Source organism: Homo sapiens, chromosome 20 (assembly GCF_000001405.40).
Source record: "Homo sapiens chromosome 20, GRCh38.p14 Primary Assembly".
Lineage (NCBI taxonomy): Eukaryota > Metazoa > Chordata > Mammalia > Primates > Hominidae > Homo > Homo sapiens.
The window spans coordinates 23,871,016-23,888,089 of record NC_000020.11 but is presented as its reverse complement, the minus strand read 5'-3'; the positions used below and the strand labels follow the sequence as shown (position 1 = coordinate 23,888,089).

Sequence of the window (17,074 nt, the reverse complement as noted above, 5' to 3'; positions counted from 1 at the left end):
GAAGCACAGGGTGTCCCAGAGACAGTGTCCTGGAACCCAGCCAGCAGAGCTTCCACCAGCAACACTGTCACCCTTTCTCCAGGGCTTCTCTGTGCCGAGCAGTTCAGTAAGGACCTGGTATGCATTGTCATTTTGTTCTTCACATATCTGCAAATAGAGAAGTGTACTCTTGCTGATGAGAAAATAATTCTTGACATACAGCAGGCACACCATACCTCTCTTTTGACTGAACGCACACATGTATCCAAGGTCCTCCCTTACGGAGAAGACATCACTGGAGAGCTCCAAGATCCCAGACAGGGCTCAGCTATGATGACATCACAGTGTGGGGTCCTGTGCACTTGCATCAGACTCTGCCTTGACACTTTTTGTTGCAGGTTCCTCATCTGCAAAATATGGAAACACATTTCATAAAGATTGTTGGAGGATCCATTAATTCACTCAACTAATTCCTTACTGAACCCTGTGCTAGGGCTGGGACCACAGCATTGAGCAAGTAGACAGTGTGCCCGTGTCTAGAACACAGGAAGCACATAGAGAGGCACAGATATGGTTGATAAAAAGCTTTTACTTTCCTTCCTGGCCTGGGAGTCTCATGAATAGAGGATGCCTTGGAGTAGGGTGTGATCAAAGGTAGACAGCAGAGGAGGTAAAGTGGGACCATCTCCAGTGCATTGCTACCCTAGGAAGAATCTACAGTGTTGCTGAGCTCCTGACAATGATAACAAATACTGCAGGGCAAACTCAGAGACCCTAGAGAAGGGCAATGGGGTGCTCTAGGGGGATGCAGGAGCTGCTGAATGGGGATAAGCCAGGCTCATCATGGGACCAGTAGTGGGCAGCTGGACAGCTTTCAGACTCCTGAGGAGGGATTGATGCCTGGCCATTTGTCCAAGTACATGCATACACACAGTCACACACAAATACACACAGTTTCACACACAGAGAGAATAACACACATACACAGAGTCTCTCACACACACACATAGAATCACACACCCAATCACACACATACATGCAGTCACACACACATGGTCTTGTACAAAGGTGGATTACTATGAAGGAAACCTGCTGAATAAGTATTTTCCTGCATTGAATTTCCTTAAAAGCACAAAACTATGTTCATGGCAAAATCTGGAAGAGCTAGATGCAGACTGAAACAGATCTAAAACTGCATTTTGCAAACTGCTGCACGCAGCACAAATGCAGCTGTAAAAGTTAATGTGCGCTCCTAACTACATTTTTAAAAATTCCTTCAACAAACATTGAAATTATTTTGTATACCAAAGCCTCCTTTTGGAACTATCAATGCACATTATAATATTCATTAAAACTCATAAAATGCCTGCAGTAAGCCACCTGATTTTTTATCTTCAAACTTTAATCAATTATTCTGAAATTCCTACACTTTGATTTTTGAGGGGAATGGCTAACACCTATCAGCTACCTTCAGAAAGAGTGTCCTGTGGAAATAAATTAAGAAACATTCATCTGTAATATTGTTTCACTTTCTGTAAATTCTAGTATTGAGGAAGTTAAGTAAATATAGCCATCCATTGGTATCCATGAGGGATTGGTTCCAGGACCTCCCTCTTATACCAAAATCCATGGATACTGAAGTCCCTCATATAAAATGGTGTAACATGCATATAACCCATGCACATCCTCCTGTATACTGTAAATCATCTCTAGGTTACTCATAATTCCTCAGACAATGTAAATGCTATGTGCATACTTGTTATGCTGTATAGCTTAGGGAACAATGGCAAGATAAAAGTCTGTCCATGTTCAGTGCAGATGCATTTGTTAAAAAATATTTTTTATCTGAACTTGGTTGAATCCAAAAAGGTGGAACTCAAGGATACAGAGGCTGACTGCATGATGATGGCAATTGATGGGATCCAAGTTTTTAACTGTCAAAGAAAGCAGCCACAGCTTTGGAAAGGGAAGAACCAGAATGAATCTCACAGGGTTGGAAATGAGGTCAATATTAACTTATGGTTTATAACGTATAGACAGATAATGTAGAAATAAATATCAACATGTGAGTATGTTCAGGTGTGGATTTCGTAGCTCTGTCCCACTGAGGAGGCCTGGAACAAGGCTCCTCACCCTCCCCACTGTGGACATTTTGGGCCTAATCACTCTATCTTTGGGAGCTGTGCTGTGAAATTGCCTGATGTTTATCAGCATCCAAGACCTCTATCCCCAAAATGACAGCAGCACCTCCTCCCGAGTAGTGACAACCAAAAATGTCCCCAGACACTACCAAGTGTGCTCTGGGAAGCATATTTGGTGCCTCCTGCCACAGGTTGAGAAGCACAGACCGAGGACTCATGGCCATCCAGGAGCAATGAGCACAGGTTGCACTTGGGCCTTGCTTTCTAAATTCACCGCAGATTCTAGCCACTGATTCTAAGGTTGGCTCAGAAAAGTGAAAGATAAATCTGCAACTTCTTGTTACATCAGAAAGTAAAAATAGACTCAAATAATGATGAAAACATCTCATAAGAATGCAGGAAGCAGCTGAAGGGGTCCCCAATAGCCAACTCTGAGATAATTTTCACATTGGAATAAATAGTGCTAACAGAGTGTAACTCATTGAATAAAATAAGAAACCATGAGTCAGATAGATCTATGGAAAGATAAATGGCAAATAGGTAGGTAGGTAGACAGATAAGCAGATAGAAGAAAATAGAGATTTTCCTTATAGTAGAATGAATGCCATTAATAAATGTAGAACAAATAATGAAATTAGAAACAACCTTTTCACAACAGTCATAATAACAATTGATTCAAGCAACAATTATCATTGTATGCTAAAGCTAGAAAGTGAAAATTTGATAAGAAGTAGGATATAATCGTATTTCAAAGCATTGCTTTATGCAATATTTGTTAATGATAAAGTGAAAAATAGCAACTTTATAGTGGACTGGTATAGATACGCTGCAATGGCTGGGGCCAGGCCACTCCTGGGAGGTGGGCTCCTGAAATGTGATCATGGACAGCAACTTCATGTAAAAGTATCCTCTCACCTTCTTGAGAGTGAAAGACTGCCTGGAAAGAGATGCTCACCATCCCCGCTGAGCACATTTCCAGCCTACCCCACCTGAATGCAGCCCCCAACTGAACCTAACAAGACCAGCAGAAGAGCCGCGGACAGCTCCAGAGTCATAAGAATCCACACATCATGTTGCTTTCAGCCAGGAAGATTCGGGGTGGCTTCTGATGCAGCAGTAGGTAACTGATGTGTACAGGATGCTCTGAACATCCCTCCCAGCAGAGACCCACAGTCCATCCCATGTGAGGTCCAGAGAGGGAGAAATCTCCTCCTCCGTAGACTGCATGGTTTCTGCTGGTGTCTACAACTGCCATGCAACTCGTGGAGCGCAGCCCTTTCCTTCCGAATCCAACCTACATTTCATGCTCTCCATGAGGGGCAGGTCTGTGGGCAAAATGATGATTGTAGCAATAGACATGCTGAACTGGTGGTGCCTGCAGGAAGTCCAGTGATGACGTCATGGACAGGGGGATGAGGAGCTTCACTGCTGGAAGCCTGGCCTTAGTTGAGATAACTCAAGACAATTGCAATGGGGTCAACACTCTCACAATAAGACAGAGTGAGCTCAAGTCCAAATATAAAAAGAGTAAGTGGGGATTTATAGCCAAGGAGCAGGGTGTGGAGGTTAGTGAAGAAAAAATTACTAAGCAGAGACATCAAAGGTAGGGGTTTCTGGCTGAACTGACCAAACAGGATTCTTGCTAAAGGCAGGACACAGCCTTAGACATCAAAGCTGAGGGATGAGGAACTTGATCAGATGTCAAGGGTGATCAGACCCCAAGGACAGCAGGATTCTCCCTAAAAGGAAGCAGGATTCTTTCCTAAAACTGAGCAATGCAGACCTGGCAGGTAGGAGCTGGAGACCAAGGTTGAGGCCTAGTGAAGAAGGCTCAGAGGAGCCTTAAAGTTTCGTTAGAGAGTCTTTTCACTGGATCCAGCTCCTCTGTGACAGGAGGAGAGGGCAGGCAGGGCCACAAGAGCAGGCAGGCTGTCCTGATGGCCTCTGGCTCCAGCTCCAGCACCCACTGATTGAGTGTAACAGGATTCCAGGCAGGAACAGGAACCACTCTCCACAGCCACTGCAGTCTGCTAAAGGAATTGATATTTAAGGTTAGACAAACAGTGACAGGGAAGTCCCAGCAGTGACCTGAATGGGGATTAGAAAGGAAACTCTCACCACACAGAGATGCCAAGGGGATTGCTCTCCCCTCAGAGCCATCTGTATTCTCCTGGGCCAGGCCCCTGCAGGCTGGGACCAGGGAGTTGGGGGAAGTCCCTGGGTGCATCAGCAAGCAACCCGAGTTCCCAAGGAACTCTCCCTGTCCTCTCCACTCGGCTGTGGTTCTCTAGCCATGGCTCTGCTAGGAAGAATGTACTCCTTGAGAAAATAAATAGTAACCTTGCAATCTAAAATCCTAAGTGCTGTTTACACATTGATCCCTGAGCAGGAAACTTCCCAAGGATTCTCTTTCCCTCCATAAAGGGCCAAACTCTCAGACCTCAGATCCTGGGCTCTGTACGCCCTTTTCCTGTAGGGGCTTTGGGCATGCTTCACAGCAAGTACCAGAGTTCATAATAATGTGGCCTCATCCCCATCAGAGCCCAGATGCTTACCAATGGTGGCCAATGGTCCAGGAGTATCTCAGGTCCCCCACAGTTGGGAGCAGGGAGGGGGAAGGAGGAAGGGTGTGCATAAGGGACAAGCTTGACCCCAGAGAACTCGCAGCACTCCATAAAGGAGGATTCTGGGCTTCCCCTTTGAGAAGCCAACAAATCCCGTGGCTGCTCAGTCCCATCTCCTATCACAGACACTGAATGTTAATTGCTCAAAACCCGGATGTGCAGAATCTCAACTCTTGGCCAACTTGATCTAACCACTTGCACTTTAGGTGATGTTTATGCCCTTAGGTATTTATTGGTTATAATATTGTTTAGTGTTTCCCTTTACTGCTTATTTATTATAGAGAACTTCTGTCACTCACCTAATTTCTCACTCTACTAATTCAATCATGGGATCAAGTTACACACGCAACCTGGGAGAACACGGCTTTCTCTTTCATCCACTGGCAGAAAGGAAACATGCCCCCTCCTGGGCAACTGGACTCCTCCAGATTACGAAGGTGCTGGAGGCCCCAGGCTTGGTCCTGAGTCCATTGTTTATCTCTGGGTCCCTGCCAGCCTGTCATTGGAGCTGTAAGCTATAGGAACTAAGTCTCCATCTTTTTTTGAGATGGGATCTCACTGTGTTGCACAGTGTGGTCTGGAACACCTGGGTTCAAGAGATCCTCCTGCCTCAGCCTCAAGAGTAGGTGTACAGGCATGCCATAACACTGGGCTATTGTAAATTTTAACCACACTTAAATGTCACTGCAGAATCAAACTTATCTTGCTGGTTTTGAACCACCAGACACCACCATTTACAAAGCAGCTCACCTTTCCATATGCATGACACATAGAGAAGGCAAAACATTTTCCCAAGGTCACCCAGCAGCTGGAGCAGCTGTCCATCTACCCTAACCTTCCACTTACCATCACCCATACTGGATGCATCTCTTGTAGTTCCTGAGAGTGCCCTACATGGGGGTCTGACTACAAAGATTAGAGTGGCCACTGTATCAGGCCTGTTGACCCTCCCTATAGCTCATTCCAGTGTCCTGACAGAGGATGACCACTGGCGGTGGCATCACATACAGGGAAATAGGCCAGCACTCCAGCTCCCACCCCATACTCCACCCACCACCATATGCCTGTTATGTGGATGACCTGCATCTCCTTCCTAATGATAAAAGATAGGAGAGATTTGTATGTATTTCAGCTTACCCTCTGCACAACACATCCTCCTGAGAGTTGAGACCTAGCGGCCAGGGAAGGTGGGAGCCACAGAGGAGACCCAACTCCCACACTTGGGAGATGACCATTCTGCCCACAAGCACCTGGCCAGGGACTGCCCTCTCTTTCCCTTCTCTGGGAATCTCCCCCAATTTCCTGTCTAACTAGGAGGCATCACGTGCAGCCCTGCTTGAAGACCTTCCCTCCCTCACCCAGCAGTAAACACTATCCCTGGGCCACCTGCTGTATCTGCTGGAGTGCATGGCTTTTCTAGGGGTGCTGGATTCACAGTGGGGTGCAATGGTCACTGGGCCTTGGGTAAAAAGGTCCCCTGTCCTCATACTGAACATGAGCACCCATGAGTAATATTGTTCCCGCTGTCGGGTTCCTGCTGATGCAGCCCCAGCCATGGCGGAGCCCCAGGATTATAGCAGGTCTGGGCTGATCCTGGCCGACCCTCACCTCCACCACTCCCAGGAGAGTCCTCTGGGTGTCCTGCTAAGGCCCAGGGTTTCCTGGTGTTTCTGGCCAAGCCTGCCACCTCGCCATAAGGGCATTTGCCGCAGGATCACCTTCAGGCATGGAGGGGGGGTTGAGAGAACAAAGGGAGCAGCTGTCTGTTCAGAGCCTCCTTCCACCCTCCCTACTCCTGAAGTCACATTCCAGTCCAGGCCCACAGCATCCCGAGCTGGGGGCTTTGTCAGCCCACAGGGCACCCAACTGACCACATCCTCTCAGTCTGTGGAGAAGGAGAACTCTCAATCCTGGCAATGAAGCCACGCTGAGCAAAGGACGAAGACACACCTGGGCTCTCTCTGCAGGATTCCATTCCTGGGAAGCTCAAGGACAGGCAACAAAGGAGTCCACAGGACCAGATGTGGGCTGCCAGGGTCGGGTGGGCATGAGGGTGGGCTTCAGAGGCAGGAGGAAACCATCTGGGGTGAGGCAGATATCACAGGTGTGGACAAAGTGGTAACACAAGTGTATGCATTTATGAAATCCCCCAGATTGGGCACATACAATTAGGCATTTTATTGTGTGTAAATTCTACCTCATTCAATGTAATTTTTAAAATATTACATGAGTTTTCCAAGCAGTGTACAGAGGACCAGTGCTGGCAGCACGTCTCCCAGAGGGGAGGAGCAAGAGAGGCTCTTGGGCTCCCACATTCATCCTGTGGCTGCTGCTCCTTCTCCTGACACCCCCACCACCTGCCAGGGGTCTCCCTGCGCCTTCCACCTGGACACACCCACAGTTACCGTGAGACTCCAGGTCGTTCCCTTCCCTGCTCACACCCCCTCCAGGAGCTTCCTCTTCCTGGAGCAGGCATGCCCAGCCTTGCCTCAGGGCCTTTGCACTGACTATTCCCTGCTGCCTGGGGCTTCTCAACCTTTCCGGTCTCTTAGAGACTTCCCTGACCAGGGTCCAGTAGCACCCACCCTCTCTCTAACTGAGCGACTATAATTCCCTGATCTAAATTGTTGATCACCACTCTGCATCCTCCCACACACCCTAATGGCTGGGCTATGCAGTACCACAGCCACCAGCAGCCACTCGTGGCCACAGGGCACTTGAAATGGGGCTAGTCCACAGTGACGCTTGGTCTAACTGTAAAAAATACACAGGGAACTTCAAGACATTACACTCACACAAAAGAATGTAAACTAGCTCCTTAAGAATAGTCCTGAAGTGTTGAAGTATTTTGGATATATTAGGTTAAAGTAGAAATACCAAAATTACTTTCAGCTGTATCTTTTAACTTTTTCAAATGTGTTTTAAATTGCTCCTGGGTTTCTGTCACATCTCTGTTGGATGGCAGCTCTGCAAGTTCATGTCTACGGCTCTATTGCCCAGACTGCTTGGTGCAGGGGGAAGCTGGTGACAGGTTTGTTTATTGAATAATGAGGAGTTATGAAACGAGAACCCAGTGAACTTTACCCAAAGGTTAATTACTTTATGTTTGGCAAAGAAGTTCCCCAGAAGAGGGCATGGACAAGGTCATCCCGGAGCTTCTGAAACAGCTCCCTGCCCCAGGAATTCCCAGACCATGACCACGTGCTCCTGGATGCCCCTGACATCTGAAGACTTTAGAAGGCCAAGCCCTGTATTTCTCCCTTTCCTGTGGACATAGGTGGTCACCAGGTTTCACAGCCCAGGGAGCGGTGTCACCTCTCTGGAATCCAGAGTGAGCCAAGCTTTAGAGCACTGAGGAAGAGGGGCAGGGCTGTGGGGAGGTTGCGGTCAGGACAGGAGTGGGGAGGAGGATGAGGAGGAGGCATGGGAGGAGCGAAGGGAACTTAGGGAGGGAGGGAGGTGGTTGGGGGTGGAAAGGGAGATAGAGACAGAAGAGGAGGGGTAGAAAGAGGAGGAGGAGCCAGGGGCGGGGCCAGGGAGCAGGTGGGGTTGGGGGACACCCAAGTAGGATAAATGCACAGCTAGCTTCTGGCCTGGGCTTCCTGCCTCAGCCTTCTGCTGCTTTGCTCTCTGGGAGATCCAGCTCCTTGCTCTGTGTCCCAGTAGAACATGATGTGGCCCATGCACACCCCACTGCTGCTGCTGACTGCCTTGATGGTGGCCGTGGCCGGGAGTGCCTCGGCCCAATCTAGGACCTTGGCAGGTGGCATCCATGCCACAGACCTCAATGACAAGAGTGTGCAGTGTGCCCTGGACTTTGCCATCAGCGAGTACAACAAGGTCATTAATAAGGATGAGTACTACAGCCGCCCTCTGCAGGTGATGGCTGCCTACCAGCAGGTGCGTGCTACCACCACCCTGGGGGTCCTGAGTCCCAGCTGGGTTTTTTGCCTCACCCCCCAGAGCACTCCCAGCAAATCAACATTATCTAAACCGCAGACTCATTCAGCTTTCTCTGACTGTCTGCTGATGGTCTTCATGCCCTAGGACACTCCTTGGCCGTGAGTGCATGAGTTCAGCCCTGTCCTGTCCCCTCGGCCTCTTTTAACCTGCAGCAGCCACTGTGTCTGTACCATGACTGTGGCATTTCCCAGGGTCCAGCAGGTGTGGATGGAGACTGTGCTGACTCTGGGTGGGCTTGATGCTGCTCAGGATGAGATCCAGGCCACGAGGTTCATCTTCCTCCCTGAGTCCTCTCCACAGGGGCCACACGGGAACCTGACTCCTTGTCCTGGATAGCCCCGCTTCCCTCCCAAGTCACGCCCCTGGGCACAGCCCGTTATGGCTAGTGGCCTTCACTCTCAGGCTGGCTGACCACCCCCTACAGCCCAGGACAGCTGAGTTCCTGCTGGGGTAGAGCATGCCTGACCCTGCCTCTGCCAGCTAACGCAGAGTTAGACCTCAGCAAAATGAGGACAGCAATCACCCAGCAGAGTGAAGGAGGTGGTTGGGTCCAGAGGGAGGAAGCTTCAGCAGGGCTACCGAGCCCAGCTTGACCTACGTCCCATGGCAGAGCAGCAGTGACACAGCGACCACAGGGCTATATGGCCTGCCAGCCTTTAGAGCTCCTCCACCTTCTCTTGGAAAGTCAGAGGAGTCCAGACCAGCCCTGTTTCTCCTCCTGCAGCCCTCTCCCTGCACAGGAGGGGCATTCCCTGGTGCTGTGGTCCCTGCTGGCCTGCACTCCCTCTTAAGTGTGTCACTCACTGGGAGTGAAGCACAGAATGATGTAGATCGTTGGGCCCTGGAGCCTATTTTACAGAGCAGCAGACTGACACCGGAGGGATCACAGGACTTCCATGTGGTTCTACAGGACTTGTGTGTGGTTCCACAGGGCAAGGTCTAGCACCCTGGTCCCAGGGTCCCTCATCCCATGCTTCTCCACAGTTCTGACAAGTCATGTTTTGGGGCGGCACTGTGCAGGGAAAGCATTCAGTTCTCTTCTGAAGTTGCAACCCTAAGACATGCAGGTGTGTGACTCACTTTAGAAATATTGCCTTGAAAATCACACCTGGAATGGAGGCATGCAGGAGGCAATGTTTATTGGCCTAAAACATCAATGTATGTGAGCATCTCATCTCCTACTGAGAAATGAGGAAAAATACCTCTGGGTTAAATGGCAGGAATGAGATGCTCTGTGGACTGAATGCCAGGAGCTGGAAGTTAGCTGAAATTTCATCATCAGGTGGCAGCCTTCCTAGGATGGGACCAGTGTCCCTGCCCCCTGAGCACAGGTAGCAGAATTCAGTTAATCCTTTGCTGTGGGAAAGAGCATTCACTTGGTGCTTAGACCCTGCCCTGCAAGCCTGGTGCCAGGACTGTTTCTTTGTCCCACCCTGGCTGGTTCCCCAGAGCTGTGCCTTCTGTTCCTGAATCCAGTGAAGGGGGTTTTAGGCCCTGGCTTCCATCTGCCCTGCCCCTGCTTCTCTTTCTACTGGGCTGCATGAGACAGCTTGCTTGAGATACCCAGAGAAAACAAGTTACTAGGAAGGACTGGGACACACTACCACTGCCAGCCAGCAGGAGAAGGTGGCTTGTGTGCCTTTTGGGTGACAGTGTGGGCATGAAGCCCCAGGCAAGCCCAGTGACTCAGTCACAGTGAAGTGCCTGCGTGTGCATGAAACTGACAGCATGCTGCCCCTGCTTCCTGCTCTTCCACGCGTGTAGATCGTGGGTGGGGTGAACTACTACTTCAATGTGAAGTTCGGTCGAACCACATGCACCAAGTCCCAGCCCAACTTGGACAACTGTCCCTTCAATGACCAGCCAAAACTGAAAGAGGTATGTGCCTGATGTGGGTCAGGGGCATCAAGTACCGCAGAGCAGTGTGTGCATGTGTGTGTGTGTATGTGTGTGTGCACGCATCTGTACTCCTGCACATGCTTTGGAGGGCATGTGTGCATGTGTGCAGATATTTGTGGGGCCACGTATGCAAGGATGTATTCATGTGCATGGGAGGATGCATGTGTGTTTGGCACACATGTGCAGATGTGTATTGTGAAGTCAATGAATGTGTTTGTGCATATGGAGTTTTGTGTATGCATGAATGAATGTGTGGGATGGTGTACACATGTGGCTATGCATGTAGAAAGATGCATATGTGTGCATACATGAGGAAGATGCACAGGAGTGTGTGTGTGCATGTGTGTGGATGTGTGAAGGAGTATGTGGGTTCATGCATATATTCGTTTGGGTGAGGGTTGCTGTGAGTTAATATAGATGCCTATGTGTGTGCAGATGGAGTGGTGTGGATAGGGGTGATGAATTTGTTTTGCTAGGAAGACTTTAGCTTGGTAATGGTTACTGGGAGGTCAACTCTGCCTGCTTTGGGGTGTTGTCTGTTGGACTGGAGGAAGAAGCTGCTGGGCTGGGTTCTGGTCAGAAAGAAGGGGCTCTGTCTAACCCCAGCCTCAGGCACCTGCCTGCAGCCACAGCCACTCTGAGCACATTAGAAGGAATTAAATGCCTGTTAGCTGAGAAGCCCTGGACCTGCCCCAGCTCACCCAACATCAGCCTCTCCAAGAACCCAGGATTTCTTTCGAGGTCTCTGCTCAAGGCAGAGCCACACTCTCCTTGTCATCTCCTCACCACCTCGGGCACTTTGAGTTGCAATTTCCAGTTCCCTGGGTTCTTCCCTCTGGCCCCTCTTAGTGCTGGCCTGGGTGCTGGAGGTGGAAGGAGCTGGAGGCAGTGAGCTGCCTCCCCTGTCCTGCACCCCTGAGGCTCCCAAGGCCTTGCACAGGCTGCTCCTCATAGGGCTGCGCTGGGACAGGAATCCTGCAGGCTGGGGTGAAGGCCCAATGTCACCTGGTGACTTGGAGCCTTGGGAGGGGCAATGGAACAGTCACTGCCCAGTTGGGCTCAGTGCCCTGGAACTCGGCAGGGGTAGGTTGGGGTCAGGGGGCAGTGTCTCATCTCCAACCATTTTCACCCCCATTCTGATGTCCCATTCCTGGGCATCTTTGGCTTTAACTGTAACCCACAGTCATTTTCTCCATCTCTTTCTTTTCACAGGAAGAGTTCTGCTCTTTCCAGATCAATGAAGTTCCCTGGGAGGATAAAATTTCCATTCTGAACTACAAGTGCCGGAAAGTCTAGGGGTCTGTGCAAGGCCTGTCACACTGACCACCTCCTACTCCCACCCCCTGTAGTGCTCCCACCCCTGGACTGGTGGCCCCCACCCTGGGGGAGGTCTCCTCATGCGCCTGCACCAGGAGACAGACACAGAAGGTGGCAGGAGGCCTTTGTTGCTCAGCAGGAGGCTCTGCCCTTGCTCCTTCCTTCTTGCTTCTCATAGCCCCAGTGTGCAGTGCACACTCTCCCACCTCCTGCAATTAAACAGTAGCATTGCCTCCCTCTGAGTTCTTGGCTGTTTGGGGATGTACACACAGGCAGGGTTTCTGCAGTTCCTTTATGAAGCCTCCTTGTTCTGCTGGCCCCAGAAGTTGGGCTGCTGGTTTGGTCTGAGCTCCTGGTCAGACCAGGAGGAGGGGGCTGGCTGTGTCCACAGGCAGGGGCCAGGCCTCAGTGGAGCTCGCCAGGCCGTGGATTCCATCTGTGCTTGCAGAGTTGAGCAGACTCCAGGGACTGAGCTGCTCTCATCAAATCCCCTAGACACTAAATAAATAGCGATCGATGTCTGCTTCTTTCCACAAGAGACTTTAGGCCCTTACATGGAAACAAGTCCAAAAGTGTGTATGTGTATGTGTAACTGATTGGGAGAAATGCCAGCCAGACCAAAGATGGGCAAGATCTCACAGAGAAAACAGTGCCTGCTGTCATCTATCCTGGGAAGGTGTGCCCCAGGGTGGGAGGTTTTGTCAATTCACACCCACCGGCCCATTCTCTGGACTTGAAGTTTTAAAAAGTCCTCATGTCAAACTTTATATTAGGGTTAGAGAAGTTAAAACACAAATGGGACTGGCATGAAGTGGACTGTTTTTTTCCAAGGATGATGTTCCAATTAATAAAAAAAACTTAGTGTCATCATGATTCATAGAATAGTAGATATTTGTGCCTCAAGCAGGAGGCTACACTCCTAAGTCACATGGCCCCAAGCCCACACGGTCCTTCTCTTTGCTATTTTAGTTCAAAGAGAAGGGGGTGCAGCCCTCAGGACAGGTGCCTCTGGCCCAAGGCTCTGAAATGTCTTCCTCACTCAGAGCTGCATTGACCAAGGGTGGCTGCCATGAACACTGAGAGGGAAATGACAAAGAGGAAGCTGCTGAAACAGCCCTGAGGCCAGCACCCACCGTGCTGCACCTAGGAAGCCAGGAGGAGAATGGTCTGGCAGGGAGAGTGAGCAGCATCTGCTTCCATTTCCTCTCCACCCCCATGGGATTTAACTGAGTCTGTGATGTGGGAAGTGTAGCAGCGCCCAGGCAGCCATGAGCGGGGGAGTCAAATCTGGGCCTCATCCTCTCAGTGGAGGGTGCACTTAGTGATTCAGGCTTCTACTGGGAGAGAGCGGCTGAGGGCAGAGCAGCAGGTGCACAGATGTTGTGGTTGGGGGCAAAGTCTTTCTTGCACGGAAGTGCTCATAATTTTCCATGTGGATGAAGGGTTTATTGACCAAAGGGACCACCATCCAGGCACACAATGAACAGCTGATTTTTTGAAAAACAGTCCCTTTCTGACACAATTCTATCTTCCTTGGGGAAGATGGTGTGACGTCGGGGTTCTGCACAGGACTCCCCCGACTTTTCCCTGTGTGTCTGCTCCCTTGGAACAGAGCAGGATGCGGGGAAGCTGAGAGTGAACAGGTCCATCTTCTGGGCACTGAGCTGTGTCCTTGGAAGAAGCTAAAGAAGGTTCCTGATCAGGTCATGTTAAGTGTCTTCTAAGAGTTCCTTTAGAAAAAATCATGCACCAGATCAGAGGTAAAAGATGGAAACTGCAGAGGTTGGAAACCCCTCACCCAGCATAGAGAAATCACTCTGGAAGGAGGGATGAGTGCATCGGAGGCCTGGGAAGCATGAGACGGCACAGTCTTTCCTTGGGCAGGTGGACTCTCTTCATGATCACAGGCAGACCAGGTGCTGCAGGGCCTGAGGCTCATACAATATGGGGGCTTTATGTATGAAAAATAGAGCAATATTAGCAATACAAAAGAAAGCACAAAAGTTAATGTTTATTTGGGAAAAGAAAATAAATTATGGCAAAATACTCACTTTTTAAAACACTGAGATATACTGCAAACAGCCACAAACTCCAGAAAATAACAGACACCCACAAAATCCAGAAAATAATCAGCCACCAAGTCAGTACTGTAGCCAACACACTCAGTATTGGGTTGTTGCAATAAGGGAATAAAGTCACACAAGGATCCTCACATGATTCAACAAACAAAGGAAAAAAGGTTATCACAGGATTGGAGGAAGGGATTTTGAAGGTGTATTGATGCACTCAGAGCATGGCAGGCTTCTGTGTAAAGGAGCCAGGGTCAGGTCTGGGCTGCAAATTGTACTCAGCTCCTCCTATCTCCTCAGCTCCTCCTATCTCCTCAGAACCCATAAGGTTCAGGCAAATGTGGAACGTTCTGTCCAGAAACCCCTTCTCTGTAGCTCTGTGCTTCTGTGTAAAGGTGGACCTAGATCCTCCAGGCAGTGGGATGTTCTTCTTACTCATAAGCAAAGTTTCTGACAGCCCTGACGCTAGAGAACAAGGTCTTCCATTGAGTCAGAAAGCAGTTGTCAGCCAAGGAAGAAGCTGCTTGACATTTCAAAGCTGCAGCTTGAGAGAAACATTGTTTCCCGTTCATGATGCCACTGGCTTTGACCACATCAGTCCATCTATCCACCCTGCAGATGAAAGGGCAGATTTGCCCTCCCTTAATCCACATGATCTTTACTGTCTCATATAATGTTTTTGTTTAATTAACTAGTTGACACAACTCTGTAATATTTTCTGCCTATGTTTCCATATTCAGCTAATGAATCACTATTTGCCTCATCATAAGACATTGAATTTGTACCAGAACTTTTATAAATATAGCAGAAAGATAAACCAGTCTTTCCACTAACTGTTTGATGATCTGTGAACTTAATGGTACATAACATCCTTTTTCTGCTTCAAAACTCATATTGGTAATATCCTGCAACCTTTCCTGATTGTTGACAAATTCGTAAAAGCCTCTTGCAGTTTCCTCTCATTTGTGAACTCTAAGATTTTAGTGCTTTCTAAATTTTCTAGACATAAGATTGATGATCTTAAAGACTCTTTGTATTAACAATGCTCACTAACACAGCATTTTTAAACTGTCACTGTTGTGTAGTGAGCTTCAAAATTGTGCAAATGTATCATGATGTGCTATATTGATTAGCTCATTGAATGTGCAGGAGTTTGTCCTGGAAAAAGTATCTCTTCAAGTCATCTCACCTGTTGGTCACAGTTTTACATCTGTGTTGCCTGCAGCTGGGAGCCAACAGAATAATCGGGGAGGGACGTCAGGCCCGCCCCTCCTGTCTGTGCCACTCACACACACATGGGCAGACTCCAGTATTCTTGCATAGTGCATGGGCAAAGGAGGACGTGAGGGAGGAGACAAATCCACCAGCCACAAAAGTAGAAGGAGACTTGAAGAAGAGGTGAGGGAAGGAGAAACCATGCAGAAGAAACTGCAGAGGCCTTGGGACCTGCTGAGAAGCTTTCAGCCACATGTAAACTAAGTCCCTAATTAAAAATGTCTTGAATGCAAAGGGAATGTTCTACTCTCATGATAAGAAGCCCCTGGGTGAGGCAGGCTTCAGGAACAGAACTCCCAGCATATGCTCTGCTTCCTTGGGATTCTCTCAGCCTTACCTTCCTGTTCTTGAAGCTTCAGCCTCAAGCTGGTAGCAAGGTGGTTGCAACAGCTCCAGACATCACATCATCAACACCAACATCCAGAGGCAGAAAGAGCCCTGGGAAGAGCCTCTGTTCCACACCTCCTTCCTGAATGTGAGGAGGCTCCTCCTATGCACCCCCTAGCTCACCACCCCTGCAGTCTCATTGGCTAGGGCTGGGTCATATGCCCACCCCCTACACCAATCCCTGTTAGGAATTCACATCATCCATTGTGTCACCAGCACTCAGTGAAACCTGTGGATAGGATGGCAGCATCCTGGTAATAGCACAAACTTCAGCATGATCAAAATGATGACATGACTGCAGAGGGAATAAATAAATTATGCATGCACATGATGAAACCATCGTTAAGAAGAATTAGCAATATATGTGTTAAAATGAAAAAAAATTTTAATACACTTTGAATATATTATTTTATAGAAAACAAGATCTATATGGTATGTTAATACAAAGCTCTTTCCAAAAACAAAAATAAACACATGTGTGTATGTGTGTATATAGACATATACACAGACATATACACATATGTATACACAGAAACACATCTGAGGGAAAGAGAGAGAAAGGGAGAGAGGATGAGAAGGGAGAAGAAAAAGAAAGAAGAGAAGAATTTTGCATTTTTCTGTTTCATTTGAATGTTATTACAATGTCACGTTGTTCTAATTATTCTAATTATTTTAAATGTCATCCATGGGTGTTTGGGTGATGATATGGGTTGTTTTTCATTGTACCCTCCCTATGTCTGCATTTTAAAAACTAACAAATGCTATGGCTGAATGTCTATTGGTGTGGTTGATATGCCTGCATATGCTTAATAGCACATTAATTATGAGTGAATCAGGAGTTGATATTCAGCATCAGGGGTTTCCCCTGCCCCCTGAGTTGCAACAGTCATTTAGAATTCAATACATTTTTTCCTTGTTTTTCATGACACTGAGTATTTCTGAATAGATCCTCTCTCAGCTACACTGTGAGCTCCTGGGGAAAAGAGGGTATCTTTGCTCACATTCCCTAAGGAGCGTTTACTAGCAAAGAGCTCATCATTCCTGTGGACACGATGATTGCAATTAGCAGGTGGACTCCAGCTTGGCTTTAGAGTGCTTGATCTATTTCAGTCTCCTGTATTCTACTTCCACTGAATGTAAGGAGGAGGTAGTCTGCTGCTTAGTTATGTTGAAAGTAAGAAACATCCAAGTTTTGAGAGGTTGGTCTGCATTTAATTTCAGCACAAGCTCAGAAAATTCCATTCACATCTCAGCACCCATACTTACACATTGAAATGGTGCGCAGTCAGTGATTGCATTAGGAATCTGATGAAAATTGTAGAAATGGTGTGTGTGTTTGCATACTTCTGCATAAACACATTCATAAACTTCAGAGTACAGTGGAGTTTCTATAAGCTCTCAATGAACTCTCATATTAAGG

At 48.3% G+C, this 17,074-nt stretch overlaps 1 protein-coding gene across 1 annotated transcript, besides 1 other annotated feature; it reads left to right on the top strand.

Annotated features, from left to right (window-relative positions):
* Window positions 8,020-8,849: an enhancer, noted in NCBI's record as "H3K4me1 hESC enhancer chr20:23859878-23860707 (GRCh37/hg19 assembly coordinates)". NCBI's record gives its function as "activates a minimal SCP1, AML or CMV promoter by ChIP-STARR-seq in primed H9 embryonic stem cells {active_cell/tissue: H9 hESC(primed)}" and the evidence as "EXISTENCE:reporter gene assay evidence [ECO:0000049][PMID:30033119]".
* Window positions 8,342-12,156, top strand: CST5 (cystatin D). Its single transcript, NM_001900.5, has 3 exons — window positions 8,342-8,644; window positions 10,472-10,585; window positions 11,819-12,156. The coding sequence occupies exons 1-3, from the start codon at window positions 8,414-8,416 to the stop codon at window positions 11,900-11,902; spliced, it is 429 nt and encodes a 142-aa protein (NP_001891.2). The 5' UTR covers window positions 8,342-8,413; the 3' UTR covers window positions 11,903-12,156.
* Window positions 12,157-17,074: the final 4,918 nt, after the last annotated feature.